Source organism: Homo sapiens, chromosome 9, assembly GCF_000001405.40.
Source record: "Homo sapiens chromosome 9, GRCh38.p14 Primary Assembly".
In the NCBI taxonomy this organism is placed as follows: Eukaryota; Metazoa; Chordata; class Mammalia; order Primates; family Hominidae; genus Homo; species Homo sapiens.
This window is the reverse complement of record NC_000009.12, coordinates 123,109,326-123,127,617: the sequence shown is the minus strand read 5'-3', so window position 1 is coordinate 123,127,617 and position 18,292 is coordinate 123,109,326. Positions and strand designations below refer to the sequence as shown.

At 45.6% G+C, this 18,292-nt stretch overlaps 1 protein-coding gene, 1 long non-coding RNA gene and 1 other non-coding gene across 13 annotated transcripts in view, besides 1 other annotated feature; all 3 read left to right on the top strand.

The window, feature by feature from the left end:
- STRBP (spermatid perinuclear RNA binding protein) overlaps positions 1 to 18,124 on the top strand; it is a 159,093-nt gene extending 140,969 nt beyond the window's left edge. For 5 of the 11 annotated variants that reach the window (NR_033234.2, XM_047423563.1, NM_001171137.2 and 2 more), the window contains one exon: positions 1,945 to 6,001. Coding sequence is in view for 7 of the 11 variants with exons in the window: in XM_047423563.1 (XP_047279519.1) it covers positions 1,945 to 2,021 (77 nt within the window). In the remaining 4 variants the exon portion in view is untranslated. Of the gene's footprint in view, positions 1 to 1,944 lie in introns of all 11 variants that reach the window. The other 6 variants (NM_001376106.1, NM_001376107.1, XR_001746347.2 and 3 more) reach the window with 5 other exon arrangements.
- On the top strand, positions 12,141 to 18,124 carry MIR600HG (MIR600 host gene). The gene has a single exon (NR_026677.1). It is a non-coding gene; the product is annotated as an MIR600 host gene (long non-coding RNA).
- Positions 15,510 to 15,659: an enhancer, noted in NCBI's record as "active region_28932". NCBI's record gives its function as "activates an Ori minimal core promoter by ATAC-STARR-seq in GM12878 lymphoblastoid cells {active_cell/tissue: GM12878}" and the evidence as "EXISTENCE:reporter gene assay evidence [ECO:0000049][PMID:35858748]".
- MIR600 (microRNA 600) lies at positions 15,975 to 16,072 on the top strand. The gene has a single exon (NR_030331.1). It is a non-coding gene; the product is annotated as a microRNA 600 (primary transcript).
- Positions 18,125 to 18,292: the final 168 nt, after the last annotated feature.

Below are 18,292 nucleotides of genomic sequence, written 5' to 3'. Positions count from 1 at the left end.
CCCTCTAAAATAAAAAATAAAAGCAAATGCATAAATGAACTCCAGTGGCCCTTTGGATAACTTTTGAATGAGGTTTATGTGGCAATGGAGGCAATAGGTTTGGAGTCAGTGATATGCTCTTAGACACTTTTTTCTACTCAGGTGCTACATGTTATAGAATCAGCCATCTGCAGGGTGTTGTCAGAGAAGAGAGCATGAGAGTGTGTGTGTGCAAGAGTGTGTGTGTCAGCATGCCCCAGGCTGGGTGTGCATCCACACAGAAGGGAAAGGCCCTTCCTGTATTGCCAGTTTTGGCATTAGTCCTCTACATGAGCCTCAGACCTTCGCATTGTGCATTTTCTCTTCATGCATCTGCTTTGCCATTTTTGTTTGGATGAAAATTGTGTTCCTAAAACACTGCTGAACTGAACCTTCATCTGATTTCGTAACTGTGGACATAAGTAGAAAGTGAATAGTTTGACCACTTTGCCCATTAAAATAGTTTATATCCTAGAAAGATGTGAAGCTACAAGGGTCACACTTTCGGAGCAAATTTTCTTTTAGGCAAAGTGCAGAGCCTGGAGCTACATCCTTTATATCCTCTGGCACACTCGGGTGTGGTCAAGGCTTCCCCATATTTTGAACTGAGCCGTATGGGTAACTAGGAATTGGAGACTAATGCAATAATAAGCTTACGCAGGTTTCCTTCTAAATTCAAACTCTCTAGTTCCTTTGGGTTTGGGTTTGGCCATTTGCTTTTAACTATTCAGCTGGCTTCTGGGTCTCCTGACCATCTCATCCTCTCTGTGACTTAGGTCTGGTCCATTTATCCAAGTACATTTTGGCTCACTAGACTCACTGTACTATGTCTTGTATAAGTGCCAAAACATCTGCCGCTTGGGGCAGATATTTAAATCTGTGTCTTTCTTTTAGACATACAGTAAGTTTCAGATTCTTCAGTAAAGGTTTGCTAGAGCTCGATTTTTCCTTTGAAAATACTTTAATATCTAGATTCTAAGTTACATTCATGTTTTTCCTTGGTCTTTTTTTCTCTCTTGTTCCTCCCTTTCCTCCTTTAACATTATACTTTCACCCTGTGCCCTCTGAGCCCCCACATCAGAAAGCTCCTCTCTTCCACGTGCCATATAACTGACTTCCAAAGCTGGTGAAATTTGATGCCCCCATTTTTCACATAAAAGATTTGGTTTTTAAATGTTACTGTGATGCAAACCTACTAAAACGATGCTTTATTTTGGCTGTAAGGTAAATATGTCTTTTGGCCTTTGTAAAGCTGTTGCATGTGGGGTAATTTCCCTCTGATCATCTGGTGCTCTTGAATACCTGCTGTTGCTGCTTTGTGATTTCTCCATAGGTTAAATATTAGCATAGGAAGAGGAGCAGATTTCAAATCATGCTCGACTATGCAGAAGTCTGTGAGGCCACAAGAACGTATTAATTACAAATTCAGAAAGTAATTAATCTTTCCAGATTTGCCATGCCAATATTGGCCATAGCCATTAAGAAGTTAAGTAAACGCCTGGCCATGGCTCCAGCTGGAGCTGAGGTCTGCATGGAAAGCTATGCTTTGAACCTTGACAACCCGTTTCTCCTGGAATATGTGATATGCCACATTGAGAACCAATATGGATTTCTACAGTCGATTAGAACATGATTCAATAGCATTGCTTTTGATTTTCAGAATTCATGGTAGCTCACTCAATGAAATTGCTTCCTAGATGTAGCCATCCTGATTTTGAGAGTGGAAAATATTATTTATCAAAATATTAAGAGCAATTTCAAAATAGATCTGTGAGCGATTTATGGGCCTCTTGCAAAATGGTATACATGTTGACTGACTGATCTGGAAAAGGTTAATGATAATTACTGTCAGATATTTTTTTACCTGAAATTTTTATTGGAGTATTAAAACTTATTTGGAGTCCTCTCCGTTTCTTTTCTCTGTAGGTTTACCCAAGAGAATGGTTCTGTTACCCGTTATGAAATTTCCAACATATCCTGTTCCCCACTACTCATTCTTTTAGCAAATGACAGAAGCTAATTCCTATTGAACAACAATACAGTACAACACAGAATGTTAGAGAAAAAGCCTTTTTATCCTGCTTTCTTTGAACACATACTTGATCAAAATTATTTGTAAAGAACATCTTTCCTACTTTTTGATTTTAACAAATGCAAATTTAGTTCTCTAAAACTTGAAAAAAAAAAAAGAAACCAGTTCTGTGAAAACGGTACCTCATTTCTGGAAAATAACTTATACCAGCCCTTCTGTTCTAGGGAAATAAAAGTCTAGCAGTTCAAAGTTTAAGTTTTAAGAGACGTATCAGATTATGTAAAATTAAATTTGTGAAGGATGTATAGAGTCTCAAACACTGATCACAAATAAACTGCTTTGTTGTAACACAGAGTACTGCCTGGTTCCTGATGCAGTCACTGATTCTTAGTTGATTGATATGTATTTGCCCCAGGGCACTTTAATTTGGGCTGTAGTTATTTTTTTTAATACAATAGAGACTTTTCATTTAACTTTAACTTTGTAAATATTGAAGTGTGTAATAAAGCCAATAAAATATGGGTTTGAATATTGTTTTAGCTTATTATTTTTGATATGTTTTGGTATCAAATTACAAGGAATTGAAAACTAATAACTTAGCCCTAGAAGCCCATTCACTTGTAAGCAAAGTGCTAAAACAAAGCAAAGGTGATTGTTAGTTTGAGCCAGTCTACTCACTTTGTAAGCCCTTTGTACTCCTGTTGTACAAGGGCCATCCCCATGATAAAGGTTCCATTCTGTTATTTGAGCATTGCTTATTAAAATGATGGCACTACCCAGAGATGGGGAAGGAGAATGTGATTATCCTAGTTTATGAATTTCCAAGTTTTTAAAAATAATAAATTAATCAATCAATCACCCTCTCTTGTTCTTGTGGCCTTCTTCACTCTGTAAGATATTGTGTTCACTCCCTGGCTTTTTTCATGCAGATAGAAGATTAGTGATTTTGCTGGGATTCATTGAAGGGTCTCCTTTCCTCTTCAATTACATCAGAATCTAAAGCAGCAACAGGGTCCCCATAAAAACTTGCTCTTCGATTGTCCCAGTTCTTGTTGAGTGCTGCTGTGAAAAGTGACAGGTTTCAGCCATGGGTCAGCATTTCTTTTTAAGACACCTGATGATGCTGGTGGAAATGGATCAGTGGGTAACATTGTGCTGTTCTGTAAAGGGTGCAGACCTAAGTCCTCCACTTGCATTCTCACCTTGTTTGGAAAGCCAATGATGTTACTAGGTCAATGGTTTCATTAAGGTACTCACCCCCATGAAGGAGCAGCAGTGTGGTCCCCTGTCAATATTTATAAGGCACCATGTCTTAAAAATGTCTGTTTTTAGTATGAATTAGCTTTCATTTTCCCTATTCAGTTCTGCTTTTGGGAACTTGACAGGGCCCATCCATGAGAATGGGCTTCACAAAATATGGCAAATGTATGTACCAAATTCCTTCGGGACCACTAAATAAAGGTGAAATGGGCAATGTACAACAAATGTTAGTGTCACTTCTCAGATATATATTACACAATGATTAGTTTGTTTCTTCTCCTTGGTCTTTTGTCTTTATTAGTGGTGGGTGATACTTTAATAAAACCTCATCACTTGCTGGAAATAGCTGTAACTTATCATTCTCATCCTGTGCATTAGTGGCTAGACATAAACAAGAGGGCCCATTTCAGCTGGGAGTTTTCATGTTTCATTGATGCGTTTTGCTGACCTATGGATGAAACAGAGCCATCACTGAGAAGAAAAAGCATGGCTGATAGTGTCCAGTTTTTATTAATTAAATCTTTACAGTAGTCCTCATTGTCTTTGGAATACTATTAATTGGCAGCTGCGGCTGTATTGTTATTTGAAATTGGTCATCAAATTTGGATTCCACGTTGGAATCTCTAGATATTTCTCGTTAGAAAATTCTTTTGAAGTAGCTGACTCTGCTTCATAACTCACGCGCTCTGTAATGGTGAAAAGGGAGCTGTGCTGTTTTCCAACATGATGGCAGTCATTTCAAATGGTTTCTACCAAGTCTTTTTTTTTTTTTTTTAATTTTGTTGTTTGTTGGAAGTTACTAACCATGTTGTAAACCTGCCCAGTTGCTGCAAACTTTTACATTTCTCTGCTTTACTTAAAATAATCGAGCTGTCAGTCCTTTGTTAGAAGTGGTAACCATGCAAGTTCAACTGTTTAAATTCTGTAATGAATTAAGTGTCCCCCCACCTGTTGCCCTTCCCACCCTTCCATTTTGTAATGAAAATTCCACTTACAGCTGAAAGAGCAGAGAAATATAAATGAAGCTCTTGGCTTCACCAAATTGCCTGAGATTAACATGAAGTTTTGCTTCTCTGCTCTTTTCTCCACTGTAGGTGGTTTTTTCATTGACAGCCCCTATTGCCAGCCTCTGAGCGTCGCACCATTTATTATTCACTTGGGCCCTCAAGATTTCTTCTCTGACTTCTAGAACCATCAGGTTGTCTGGCTTGAAATGGCAATTTCTATGTCTTGGTCTTAAGAGCAATGTGACACCCTGAGGCTATCCAGCTTTCAGACACTCCACTCTGACACCCTCTTTTTGAAAGCAATGACTGATCATTTTAAAGAAGAGCAATACTTTGTTCAAAGCCACGGTGTCTGTTTTAAAACTTTTCCTTTGGAAACCTAGCAATATCTGTACTTAACCCCTTTTTAGCATAGTTTCTTGTCAGGGAGTTTACAGGTCAGTGTAGAGCTTAAAATTAGCGTGTGAGCTGTGCTATGTTCTGACAGTTTTTTACACTTTTTAGCACATAAATAGTTACATTCCTGACTGCGTCAGTTAGCGTTACTATAATTTCTCAGAGATAGGGGTCCTCCTTGAAGCCATATCCTCTGCACGGGGACTGGCCCCTAGCCAGGGATGTGGCTTGCAGCTTGTGTTTCTTCAGGCTGCAGGAGTACCCCATCTCTTGTGCAAGGTAATTGGTCCAGTAGATTTCCAACATACCTCATGCTGACTAGATGAAGTGCATGGGTGGTGAAGTAAGGAGTTGAGTTTATATAGTTCTGAAGTCGTTTGTAGTCTCTCTCAAATTGTTAGCCTGGGGAACAAACCACTGAGAGATTTTGCTGGTATTGGCCTTTTCTTTTTTTTTTTTTTTTTAATTTTGGGTGAATGTTTGAAAATCATGAATCAGCCACCATTATTAATTGAAGAGCTGGGAATACCTCGTTAATGTATTTTTAAAACTGGTGTTGGACCCTCTGTGTATTTCAGGTTAATACTTTTAAGCAGTTTTCAGCACGTTTATCTCACTTTATTCTCGTTCTCCTCGGACCTTCGTAGCCATATCACTTGTATAAAATAGGCTGAGATATAGTGACTGTAAGCTGTGATCTCAGTATACAAAGGTAAGCTCTTTTATTTTCTGATTAAAGAGAAAAATAGTCAATTAAGACAACATGCATATATGACAATCATATATGATGTATTTGATCTCTTAGGTCATATGTCATCGCATTACCTTTAAAAATTGTATGGTCTAAATGTAAAATAGTTATTTTTCAACATTTGTTTTAATACCCTTGTAACTGCTTTTTACTCAAGACAGACATTTCACTTACACTAAGTGTGTGTGTGTGTGTGTGTGTGTGTAGAAACTTAGGATATAACACGTATGTAAATTACACACACATACCTGTTTAAATGTAAGAATTCAGTGATAGGAACAGTTCATCTAAGAAGATTTTAATGACAGGGCACTCTTTTGGCCAAAGCAGTGGAATTTCCTAAGCAGCAAGGTTGGTAATAGTGCTGGTAGGATCTGTATGTGTAAGCTGTTACACAAGCTGAGGATCAAAGTGCCAATTTCTCAAGGAGAAAAACTTCTCCGAGAAATGAAAGTCTCTGATCTGTGTTGTATGCCCTAATACAACAACAGCAAGAAGCCATAGAAAAAAGCAATAGAAAATGAAAAAAAAAAAAAACAAAAACAAAATATTATGGTAACTATGGAAAAGTATATAATTGACTGAGCTAAGTTAATTATTTGCAGAACCAACTTCAGCAAGACTCGGGTGGTGAATATCGAGTCTGCAGAGACCAAATAGACTTAAAGCAATCCATCTGTCTTTTCCAGGTTAGGTAGCTAGATTATTTATTTCCCACCTTATTCAACCATCATGGAGTTCATGTAAAGATGTGAGGGTTAGGCAGACATTTTAATAAAGATTTGCTTCATTTAGGTGTGTCCCATAAATGCATTTAATTGTGTTAGATGTTGTGTGCTAAGGCTGTATTTGATATATGTAGATTAAAATGAATTTCATGTTTCATATTTGTTTCTAAGTAGCAGTTTCTTTTGATGACTCACTTTAAAGTTGCTGGAACAACTCTTGTTTTTTTCCATGCAGAATCTGTATGTACATTTAATGTGGCTTTGGCATCTATAAAAGGTTGTATGAGGTATAGCTGACTAGTACTGAGTGCGATCCAGTCCTGCTGAAACAGCCCAGTGCCTATTAGGTACCAGGTCCTCTTCTGGGTACAAGTGAACAGAGGCTGTGACCAGTGGAAGCATTTTAATTCTGACAGTCTCCTTGTTGTTGGAATTGGGCCTATTACAAATATCCTACTTTGGGAACCAGATACTTAGTTAACTGTGGCAAAAAGAATATTAGCTCAGTTATTAGTTTAATTATAAACTATTTAATAATGTAGGCCCTCTGACATCACCAAAATAGGCGTCACTTGGAAATTCACTCATTTAAAATATTTCCCTGGCAGTTTTGAGAGCCTGAAACCTACTCTGGTTTATGTTCATGGACCTCTGTCCAATAAGTGAACGTAATGAAATGAATTCATAACAAATACTCCGGTCCTTTCCAAGTAGTTTTTATAGTAGAACAAAGGACAAAGTGGTTAATTTAAACACGGAGCACATTTTTTTTAATGACAGATGAGAAAGTTTCACCCTTATAATCAGTCATTCACCATAATTTCCCTGTTTCCTAGATTTCATTAATAACTGGAGGGAAATCTTCAGCAGTGAGTTAGAGAGGAAAGAACTAAGGAGATCCCCCCTGCTTTCCCCGCCCCTGCCCCCCCCCCCCCACCCCCCCGCCCGCAATTAGATTTCAAGCAATCCAGAGCCCTATACACCAGGGTCATTAAGAGCAGTTAAAGCTGAAAACAACCTGCTCTGTGAATGGTCTTCCCCTAATTCCCATTCATCTGATGCCAGTGCCTCCTGAGAGAGGGTGGGGGCTATCTCTGAATCATCCAGAATGAGAAAGGTTCTGTGTATTCAAACTCATACTCTATACAGTCTGACGCCATGCTGTGCAGTGACCACAGGTTTCTCGGTGTTATTAGGAGTCTTGGAAAGGAGATGGGTGGTAAATGGATAACAACAGCAGAGCCAAGAAACTACTGCTGAGGTGGGTTTCAATATTGATGTGTTTCTCTCTAGCCCTTATTTACAGAGCACAGAGCTAGTACTTATATAAGAATGAGTCCCTTCCTTTCTTAATAGCCTCTTCCCAAAAGACTGTTTTAAGTCAAGAATTCCAGTTGAGTTGGTTGTAAGAATAGATATCCTTTCCCACATTATCATTTTAGGTAGGAACTAACAGATTCCATTGATGCTTTGAAGCAGCGATCTTTGGAGGTTTTTAAAAATAGTACCATAATGCAAATTAGGTTATGTAAGCTTTACAGCACAGCTAGAAATAGAGACTAGAAACCATGCGGGAATCTGGGCCAAAGAATTTCTCTCCTTCCAGCACATTCCCATGGGGCTCAGGAATTAGATGAGTTAATACACATAATATGTTTTGAACAGTACCTGGTGCAGAGTACGTACTCAGTGAATGTTGAGTGTTCTTACCATGGTTGGCCGAGGTGAGGATGAACGTGAGGAGGGCAAGGCTCTGCCAACAGGTGTTGGAGAGGCAGGTGCATGGCCTGCTCAGGGTGGAGCTGTGTCGGTTCCTTGGTGCTGATAGGCGTCAGCTGCTGCCAGGCTTTGGGAGAAGACTCCTGGTATCTAGGGGTTAGACAAGAAACACACCCCAAAGACCTGGTGAGAGCTAGTGTGGTGGCGTTGCTGCAGATCCAAGCTTAAGGAAGTTGCTCATGTGTCTGTTACAGTAGTTAAATTACCAGCCAGTCTGCTGCCAAGGGTTTGTAAATACTTGTTTTTTGGCGGGGGGCGGGGGGTGGGATTTAAGGGTGCTTAGAACTTCATAAGGGCTGATCTTAGAATATCTACCTGCTGAGTCCAAGTGTCCAACCAGTGCATTAATAATTTTTTAAAAAGGTGTTTGGTTACAACTGCCTCCGGAATCTAACCTTCAGGGCTTACCAGTGTTTAGTAGGTAGAAAGCAAGTTCCTTTAAAGCACAGAAAGGAAAGGAGGAAACTGATTGGTGTGCTTAAAAGGCTGTTGACTAGGATGCTTCAGTGAAAAGCACTCCTATAGCTTGTCTCTTCTAGTTTGCTTTGATACTTTTGGGGGGAAAAATCTGCACTCAACACCATATGAGGCCTCCCTTCTGCCTATTAGTCTTAGAGAAAACATATCTGCCCATCTATTCGTCTTTCTTTTTGTCTATCCATTTACTGTCTGGACACAGTTGGAAAGTTGCTTTTTTTCGATAAGAGGAAAATGGGTACATGATGAAATTGATGCTTTTGGATTAAATAGAGGGTGCACGTCTTATCTTCCATTCCTTTGTGTGTCTACAAAGACTTCAGGAGCCTCTGCAGAAAGGTGGTCAGATGCATCCTTGGCTGTTGGTAAGAGGTGAGCTAAGTGGGGAACATAGATTGGAGCCCTCAGATGCTCCAAGTTTATAAAAACTGCGTTACGTAGACAAGGACTGAGTGTTACCTTTAAGGAGGCAAATAAGATTTGGCTTGTAGTCAGGAGGTTTTTCTTAAATCTAAGAAATACTTGTTTAGCTAATGTCCTGCAAAAGTTAGTACATTCCCCCCAGGGGAGGCTGTTTGGTGGAGTCTTTGCCTTGTTCAGCCAGCATTGAGGGAGGACTTTTTTGCCTTGACTGATCAGTTGTCAACATTCTAATTACTTACTCCTTCTGAGGAGGGTCTTGGTCTCTCTTGGCAGAACTTTGCCATTTCTGCAGATGAACTGTGCCACCCTGCTGGTGGGCAGAGTGAAGATAGCCACTGTTTGCCCAGGCAGTTTCAGCACTGGACAAAAGGTGTCTGCATGCAGGTGTCTGCTAAATGCCCCAAGTAATGAGGTGAACAGCAGCCCTCAGTTTAGGTCATTTGGAGCAGCAGTGGACTGAAGGAGTAGGAAGGGAAGGGGAAGGAGAGATGCCAACATTTGTATCTTGTGTGCCAGGCACTTGGACATTCTTCTGAATTCTCCAGCTACCTTTCTGGCAATAGTAGTATCCTTAGTTTACAAAAGAAACTGATGCTCCAGGTTAAGTGCTAGAACCATTAATGGAACCTAGTTCTGTTCTAAAGCCTTTTTCTATTCCATCCTGCTATGGATTAAAAGGCTGCGGCCGACAGGATGGGCTCTGCTGGTAGCTAGGCCCTCTGACTTGAGGTGACTCCAGATCAGATAACCTGGCCTAAAATAGGGCTCTTTTCATTTAAATTGGTTGTGAAGAACGATTTAACATACTGGAAGGACAGACTGAAGGGCTGCATTGCATCTGTATCCACAGAGGAAGCATTTTTATCTAAAGCTTGTTTTTCTTTGAATTTCAGTGAAATCTGAGGTATGTGTTTTCACTTAGCTTATATTTTCCGAGTGCATGTTCTCTGCCTGGCCTGAGATAGGTCATGAGGATGTCTTCAACAATTTAAGCCAGACTCTGAAGGCAGGCTGGTGAGGCTTTGGCTCATTGGGTACAAGGAAGAGGAGCACAGAGGGGCAGCAGCCCAGGTCTGAGGTGTAAGTGCAAGGGGGTGTCCCTGGACGAGTACTCAGTAGAGATGGGTGGTGGCAGATTGCAGAGGTCAGTGGTCATTGCCAGGAGTTTCCCTTGGAGTAGGCCTCAGGGCAGACTGCCAGCCTGGAGTTTGCTGTCTTCCCTCCAAGTTGGACCCGTGTATGGTAAGCCCTGCTTGGATGGCTTTGGGGTCTCTAAATTGCTGCCTGTGAACCACCCTGTTGAGCGTGTTGGATTCTTCTGCTGCTGTAACCACTTTACCAGCTCCTGGGCTAATGAATGACAGCTGGGTCTCTGCTCAGGCGTGGGTGGGTGCGGGGATGGCTGCGGGATCCTTTTCAGGACAAAGTATTCCTCATCCACCCCAAGTCATCCTCTTTCTGGGCACTTGGCAATGTTTCTGTGCACCCTGCTGTAATCCTGGAGGGGAGCAGGAAAAAGGAACCTTTGAATCCCAGGCTGTCGTGTTCTAGAGCATGACTGTGTCAGGGAGAATGAGCGCCTGGCATTCATAGAACACAGTCCTCTCTCAGGCCCTTTCCCGTTTGCCATTTCATGACTTGCTGTACTGGTGGCCCTTGGAGAAGCAGCAGTGCATAGATCGTTGTTCCCACCTTGCAGACAGGGAGAGTAGAGCCCAGAGATCTCTCCAAACCACACTGCTTATTTGTGGCAAAGCATTGTGGCCCCTAATGAGTTTTTAACCACCAGAAGAAATAACATTTCTTAAGACTGTTTTTAGAGGTAACAGCAGCCCTTTCTGAGGAATTAGTTTTGAATTTCACCACAACTGGAATTAGAAATTTTCTCCTTTTACAGATGAGGAAATAGATGCTTAGATAAGGTGACTTGCCCCAAATTATAGTGCGGTGAGTGGCGGCGCTCACCCCGTCTGAGGCTATGCTGTGTGCAGGTGGTTTGCGTCGCTAGTAGGCACCAATGTCCGTTCTGTCTTCCAAGCCCACTTGGCAGCAGTGGCTTCTCTCTCTGTGATGTGTTCGGCTCACCTTTCCTGTAGGCTTCTGGGCTATCCCCTGTGCGCCTTGAAACCAAGCAAAAACCAACCCACATCTCCCTGATCCTTCCTTAGCCTCCTAAAATCCAGACTTTCTGGGCTCGTTCTTTTTCTGTTCCTTTGTTAGTGTGCTACTGGGCAAGGTGACCAACTGGTCAGCCCTGGGCCAGGCAGCCTGTTTTTTTGTTTTGTTTTCTTTTTTGCCAGCTACACAGTTGGGGTTAATTTCTACAGACCATCATTTTATACTGTAACTGAACCCTATAATAAAGTGCAAATTCAGTAATTGCTACTTGGAGAGCTCCTCAGGGGTGGGAAGGAGGACAGGGGATGTGCTGTTGGAAGTATGTGTTTTATGTTCCGCCTCATCCACACTTTGGTTTTTGGCCACATCCTCCGTTCCTGGCTCGGCCTTCAAACATGTGCTCTAACCCATGGGATCACCGTCACAGTAACACATTTTCCAGAGCAATCTGGTGTTGGGATCCCCTTGGATTCTTCCATCATGAGACTTCTCGGAAGTCTCAGCTTTCTAAAAATCCCTCATTCCTGCAGAGGCTACGTTAAAGGAATATGGTAGCCATCATCTGGGAGGTAAAAAACCTATGGAAATTGGCACCTGGGGAACTCAGGAAAGCTGAAAGCACCTTGAAATGAGATGGAAGGACCAGAAGGTTAAGGCTGGTGAAGAGGAGACCTGGAGAGAACGTGGGCACTCCTGCCAGGTATTTTTAAGGGATTATATTTATTTGTTGTATGTGGTTCCAAAGGGTGAAAGACAATTATGGGAAGCCAGTGGGGCAATTTGAGCTAAAATACACCTCCCGCGATGACAGACGCAGCCTTGAGAGAGCAGCTGAGGTGCGACATGAGCTCCCTGTAACCAGCATGTTCAAGCAAGAAGCCGGTTGTGTGGACGGCAAAGAGGAAATGCTGTGGAATGTCAGTTTGGACGAACTCTGATGTTGACTGGTGATGCTGCCAAGACCATGTCTCCCTTCTTGGGCACGTAGATTTATTGAGAAAAACCATTCACTGTCACCTACTGCTTCTTACCAGGCTCTGTGATGGGGGAGAAGGAGCAGTTGGAGAAAATGTCAGAATCTGCAGCTTAGACAACTGAGTAGAAGGTGAAATCATTGACCCAGATGGAGAGTACAGGGAGGGGAAGAAAGAGGTGCAGAGGATTTGAACAGAATGAGAGTCCTCCTCTGTGCAGGGAGAAAGGCTTCAGTGGGTCTCCCCCTCCCTGCTAGGGATCCTCCTTGCCAGCCCTGGGCTGGGCGCTGGCAGGCCCGTTCCCAGGTCTCCCGCCGAGGGCAGGAGAGGAGCCAGGCCTCAGGAGAGAAGTGCTTACTGAGTAATTTACCAAGAGCGATAGGCTTCCCACTGAGCCAGACGGGATCCCCAGGAGGGGAGTCAGAGGCGGGCCTGGCATGCATGCACAGAGAGAGTGTGCCCACTTGGGGAGTGTGAAGGGCCTTGCTGTGGGACCCGAGAGGATGAGCAGAGTCAAGTGGCAGGTGGGACACACAGTCTGCAGTCACTTCTTAAAAGGCCCTGGGTGGTGTGTCCTTCAATGATGACCATTGTCCACAATAGTGAGTTCCAGAGGGTCGATTGGGACAGTTGGATAGCCAAGGACCAGAGTCAGGAGGCAAGGCTGATGAGCAAGAGGCTGTTGCCATTGGCCAGGCGAGGCGTGAGGGAGGCTGATGGAGCGCAGCAGCAGAGGGATGGAGAGGCAGGAATGGCATCTCCTCACAGGCCAGGCTCCTCTGCCGGATTGGGTAGGGACGGGAAGATGATGGCCCCCAACCCTGGGCCAAGGAACAATAGCACCCATCCGGGGGCGGGGGACCTGCTGGAGTACTTCTCCTGGACCACTGCTCAGTGGGCAATAGAGGGAACAATGGTGTTTCTGACCAGGACGGGGGAAGGCAGGGGAATGGAGGAAGATACTGACAGGGTACAGAGGAGGTAGAATGGAGCGAGGGCCATCTCCACCGGGCTAGGAAATGGGGCTTTGGTGGGCCACACTCCATTGTGCTGGAGCACTCTGGCATCTCCATTGGCAGTGGGGAGGGGCTTGTGACCTATCAGCATCTTCACCCTTTCTGAGTTTCCGCCGGGCTGGGCTCTCCAGCCAGGAGTCACAGGTACCGGGTGGTTGTTCATGCTGAGGCCTTTTGCTTGGCAAAAAGTTAATCCATTTGTGTTCATTTTTAACCTAAGCAAGGGTTGGAGCTTGTTGGATTCAGCATCTGTGGAACACAGTCTGTAGCCCATGGGAAGACGTGGACATTCTTTCCCAAGTTCTTGAAGGACGGAAAGGACCATGAACTTGTGAGGTGACCGGAGGATTGGTTTTGGGTGTCAGTTTTGTGTCTGTCCCAGTGCTGCCACTTTTGCTTTGAAATGGACGGGGAGAGCTGAAGGCCAGCATGGGTTTCTGCACCTGTTTCCTACAGCTCTGCTGGGGACTGTGGCTCAGGTGGCAGCTGTGGACACGGATCCTGTCAGCCTTTGGGTGGCCAGAGCTCCAAGGCCAGGTGTCTCTTAGCTGCAAGCAGCCTTCACTGTTAATCAACAGGCTACACAAATCTCACCTCTAAAGAGGTGAAATGTGAAAATATATGGGAAGCGCTGCCTTAGCCCTGTGTCCACAAATCCTTTCTGTAAAGGGCCAGATAGCATTTCAGGCTTTATGGACCATGTGGTCTCTGCCACAACTGCTCAGCTCTGCCACTGTAGCACAAAAGCAGCCAGAGACAGTGCGTAAATAGATAGCATGGCTGTGTTCTGATGAAGCTTCACTTACAAATACACAGGGCTGTAGTTTGCCAACCCCTGCAAAGTAGGGAGTATTTTGCCAAACTTGGCTGTATTTCACCAACCCCTTAGACTATAGAGATGACTTACCCTTTGGCTTAATCATGACTGGAAACTTCCTTCCCATCCACTGCCTGGATCCATCCACCTCCCCACAAAGGCTTCCTGAGCATCTCCTCCGTGTGAGCACTGGCTCAATGCACAGGACGATGTAGTTCCTGCCCATATGGAACTTAGGTTTTGAGTGACACGTGGGACATTGGAAGAGGAGAGCAGGTGGCTAAAGAGCATCATACAGAACAGGGCTCAGGGAAGTCCCAGGTGATAGAATCTCAAAGAGAAGGGCTGAGGGTGAATCAGGAAAGCCCTGAAGGCAGGCAGCTCCGGAGTCGGGTTTAGACGAGGAGGCTGCAGTTCTCCAGGAAGGGAAGCAGGACCAGATAACGGATGAGATTGTGTCAAACAATGAGGAGGCCTGCATAGTCACACAGGCGCATGAGGTCTGCTCGTAAAGGACCAGGAGGGCCAGGCTCAGGGGTGTGGACTGGATTCTCTGGGCTGTAGGGAGCCACTGGACAGCTGTGCTCAGGAGGGTCATGTGATCACAAATGCTTATTAGAAATGTCACTGGCTATGGAGGACCATGTCTGTGGTTGTAAGTTACGCCTTTCCGTTTAGTCTGGACTTCCTGGTCAAGGTACTTTTGGTATTAGAGTGGGGAAGAGAGGCCCAGAGAGTTGGACAGGTTTTCTGACCATTGGCTTATAGTCAGTGAGCACCCCACCTTTATTTTGACATGACAGAGCTTTACAGAATCTTCCTTCTTCAGGCGTTTTCTTTCCTGCTATCCTAAAGATTCACGTACGAGGGCAGGATAAATGAAACATTCTGTCTCCAATCTAAGTTCGGCTTGGGGCCTCAGAATATGAAGGTAAAGGGGCGGGGACGGACTGACTGCCCCTTGCTTCAGAATCAAGTCACATGGCGGGAACGCTCTATGGAGCAGATTGCTTCCTTTGTACATGCCCTAGGCCCGTGTTCAGCAGGCCTCAGAGAAGCAGAGGTGCTGGCCTCTCGTCTCCAGAGGCTGCCAGCTACTAAGGGAGGTGGAAGCAACTACCCCTGGGGGTGGACTGCTCTGGGCCGGGCCCGACGTCAGGCGTAGGGGACTGAGGTGAATCAGACGTGGTGGCTGCATTGAGGAATGCTCAGTGTAGTTGGGGTGTTTGTAGCGCTTTCTGCTGAGCATGGTCTTTCCTCTCAGAGGGGTTTCTAGGCACGTTGAAGGGAGCTGCCGTTCAGAGCATCGGAGAGGTGCCAGGGACGTGAGCTGCTGCCAGTCTGACGTGAACAGAAGGTGGGAATAGCTGGCGCTGCCGTGCGTTGATAGGAGCACAGTGTCCGCTGCGAAGGGGCGGCTAGGGCTGGAGAAAGATGGCCTGATAGAAGCGCCTCCACAGGCGCTGATTCAGCGAAGCCCCAGCAGCCCCGCGGGGCAGGCGAGGATCACATGCAGCTCGGAGAAGAGGAGGCACTTGCCCCTCTGCCTGAGCTGGGAGGTGGTGGCCAGCTGCACACAGGGCTGTCCCAGGATGCTGACGAGGCGGGACCAGCCACAGGCCGGCAGCGCTGCACTGTGACTCCCTTTCACGGGGCCCAGCCTTGTCTCTGGCCTTCCGGGACTGAGTCAGGAGGCGAGGGCTACGTTGCTGCCCCAGCACAGTCGGGCCAGGTGTGGGGAAAGGCGGGAGGGAGGTGTGCTGTGCTCTGAGCAGCCTGGCAGGCCCTGGAGAGGCAGGAAGCCACTGCAAACTTCAGAAACTGGGTGCTGCTTCCTCTCGGTGAAGTTGTGTTTTGCTAATCTCTGATAATCAGGTCAGGGATACAGAAGGAAGAGTTGCCCCTGGGTGGCTGCTGTCTTTAGACTTGTCGGGCTCCCTCTGGTACAGAAGTGCCTCTCGGATTTTGCTGCCTGGTCTTCTCTCTTATGGACATGGAGTAGCTCTCAGGCTCTTATGGTACAGCTCTAAGAAGGAACACTTCTTGCATTGTCTAGTGAAGTTTCTGGGTTTATGGAAGGGAAACTGACAAACTGGAGCCGGCACAGATGGACACTGGGTAAAGAGAATGCAGCCTGTCCCTGGCTGCAGTGCCAGGTGTGGCCTTTCCTGTGACAGCAAGTCACGTGCTGTGGCTCCAGCTTCATAGGAAGGCTCTTGTCTGTCAGGCAGTGGAGTTACTTACAGACAAGAGCCTTGCTCAGGCCAGCCCTGCCCCTGCCTACAGGCACAGGTGCTTTGCCATCTGTCCCGTTTTCCTGCTTAGGGAACCAAGATGGTCAGAAAGTTGCTTGACTCTAACCTAAATATTTCTGCCGCTTTTGCGAGTCAGACTCTTTTTCTTTTCCTTGTTCATGGAAATGGATCAAGGAGTAGGAGTTTTAGATAGCTAGGGAGGTGGTGAGAAGTTCCGTCTCCACCTGTAATTTACAAGTCGTGTCTTAGGTTTCCAGCCTCTTTCCTCTGTTCTGGGTATCTCGTGCTCTCCACCCTTTAGGGATTTTGGTGTGGTGGGTCCGTGGCAAGACACTCGATCCAGACACACGCATTTCCGAGGCACTTCCATGTCACTTACCAAGCCTCCTTGTGTGTGGATATCACTTCACTGGCTCCCTCAGGCTGCAGCCCTGACCCCCAAGGTAGTGATGGCAGCTGGTGCATGAGGTTTGATTTGGAAGTAGCCAGGCAAGCCCTGGTTGCAAAAAATACCTCTTCTATTCCGACAGCGGGCCAGAGGCCGCTGCCATTAGACGCATCCCTCTACTTACCCCCGATCACTTTTCATGGTCAGGCCGGCCTTGCACAAGCAGGTTCTGTTCACTGCGCACCCCCATTTCTTAGATGGGGTACTGAGCACTGCTTTTCCCTTAGCTCACTTCATGTGGCAGCTTCTCAGGGATGGGACCTACCATGGCTGTGGGAGATGCTTTGCTACTACTTACTACCTTTCCGAGGGAGGAGGGCTCATTTTTAGAAATGTTACTGGGGAGCCAAATTGTAGGCCTCCGACCAGAGGGCCTCGCTCTCTCCATCTCCCAGGAACCAAGGGTAGCTCTGGCTCTCTGAGGAGCTGTCTCCAGCCTCCAGGTGGACGTCCTTTCCAGCATACCAGGGCTTATGGAGGCAAAATGAAAGCTGGTCCACGTGGGAACTCCCTACTGTTGTCCTTTCCTTGGGCAGACACCATATACTTTTTAGCTCCTAGCAGTGTTTATCCCGTTTTCCCCAAAGCATCCTTGGACTCAGGCCTTTCATCCTGGACCCATCTGTCTGGCCTGTTGTGCTGAGCCTTTGGTCTAAGTGGTTGGTTGGTCCCAGCCACTTCTTCAAAAGAAGGTTTCCTGAGGTAACCATAAATTAGGGCAATCGTACTTCCAGGAACAGTGAGGCTGATGGGCCTGTTCCCAAGGGTACTTTGGCAGGGGGTGCTGGGGAAGGGGCTGGCCTAGGGCCAGGTTCATCATACCGTTAGCCCTGCAGCCCCATGCCTGTGTGTCCTGGTTTACCCGCCGTGTAGTGGTCCTGCAGGAGTGGAGCCTGTAGGACTTGCTTCTCAGCGGCTCCAAGCAGAACTCTGTCTGGGAAGGTGGGAGGTGCAGCCAGTCTAGACCTGAAGCCCTCACACTAAGGACTAAGGTAGGCCTGCTCAGCCTTAGCCCTTCGTCAGGCCCAAGGGTGGGGGAGGCAGGAGGAGGCTGAGCGTAGTCGTGGATAGAAACCTTTCCCTACCGCACGGTTACACACATGGCATGGGACTCCTGGCTGTAGCTCACTCGGGTCTACTGAAGACCAAGTTGGTTTTTAGAAATCTATTTAAAATATCTATCATGTATCTATTTACTGTGTTTTTCTGAATACGCAAGTGTAAATAGTATAATTTGCAGTGCAAAATCCTTGGCAATAACTTTGTGTATTATGTTTAAAAACACTGGAAACCGTGACCACCATGGACTGCCCTTCCCCTCTGAGGCAATTATTACATGTAGGACTCTGAACTTTAAACCTTCAGCGTGACTGAAGCAGCAGCCTGCACATGTGGATGGTCATCAGTGCCTCGCCCAGAGATACCTGGCCTTCATCCAAAGGGACCCTGCTGCCACAAGTCCTCCAGGCAGCACCCGCACTGTGGCTCCTTCGCACTGAGTATGTTGGACTCTGCCATAGACTGACCCTCTTGTCTGGCTGCTGCAGTTTGTCTGTAATGCCCTGACATGTTGCATTCTCCCCATTTGGATAAATAAAAACAAACAAATGCTTCTGTCACACACAGTAATGGATTGTTCTGTGCAAGACCCACTGATAAAATGAAGGATACAGCTTTGGTGAAAGGTTCAAGTGCAGGCTCCCTTTTCCTGGCCCTTAAGGCTCTAGTTCAGTACATGTTACAGGTTCTTCCCTTCATGCAAAGGGATGGAGGGGCCGAGGATGTTTGAAGGG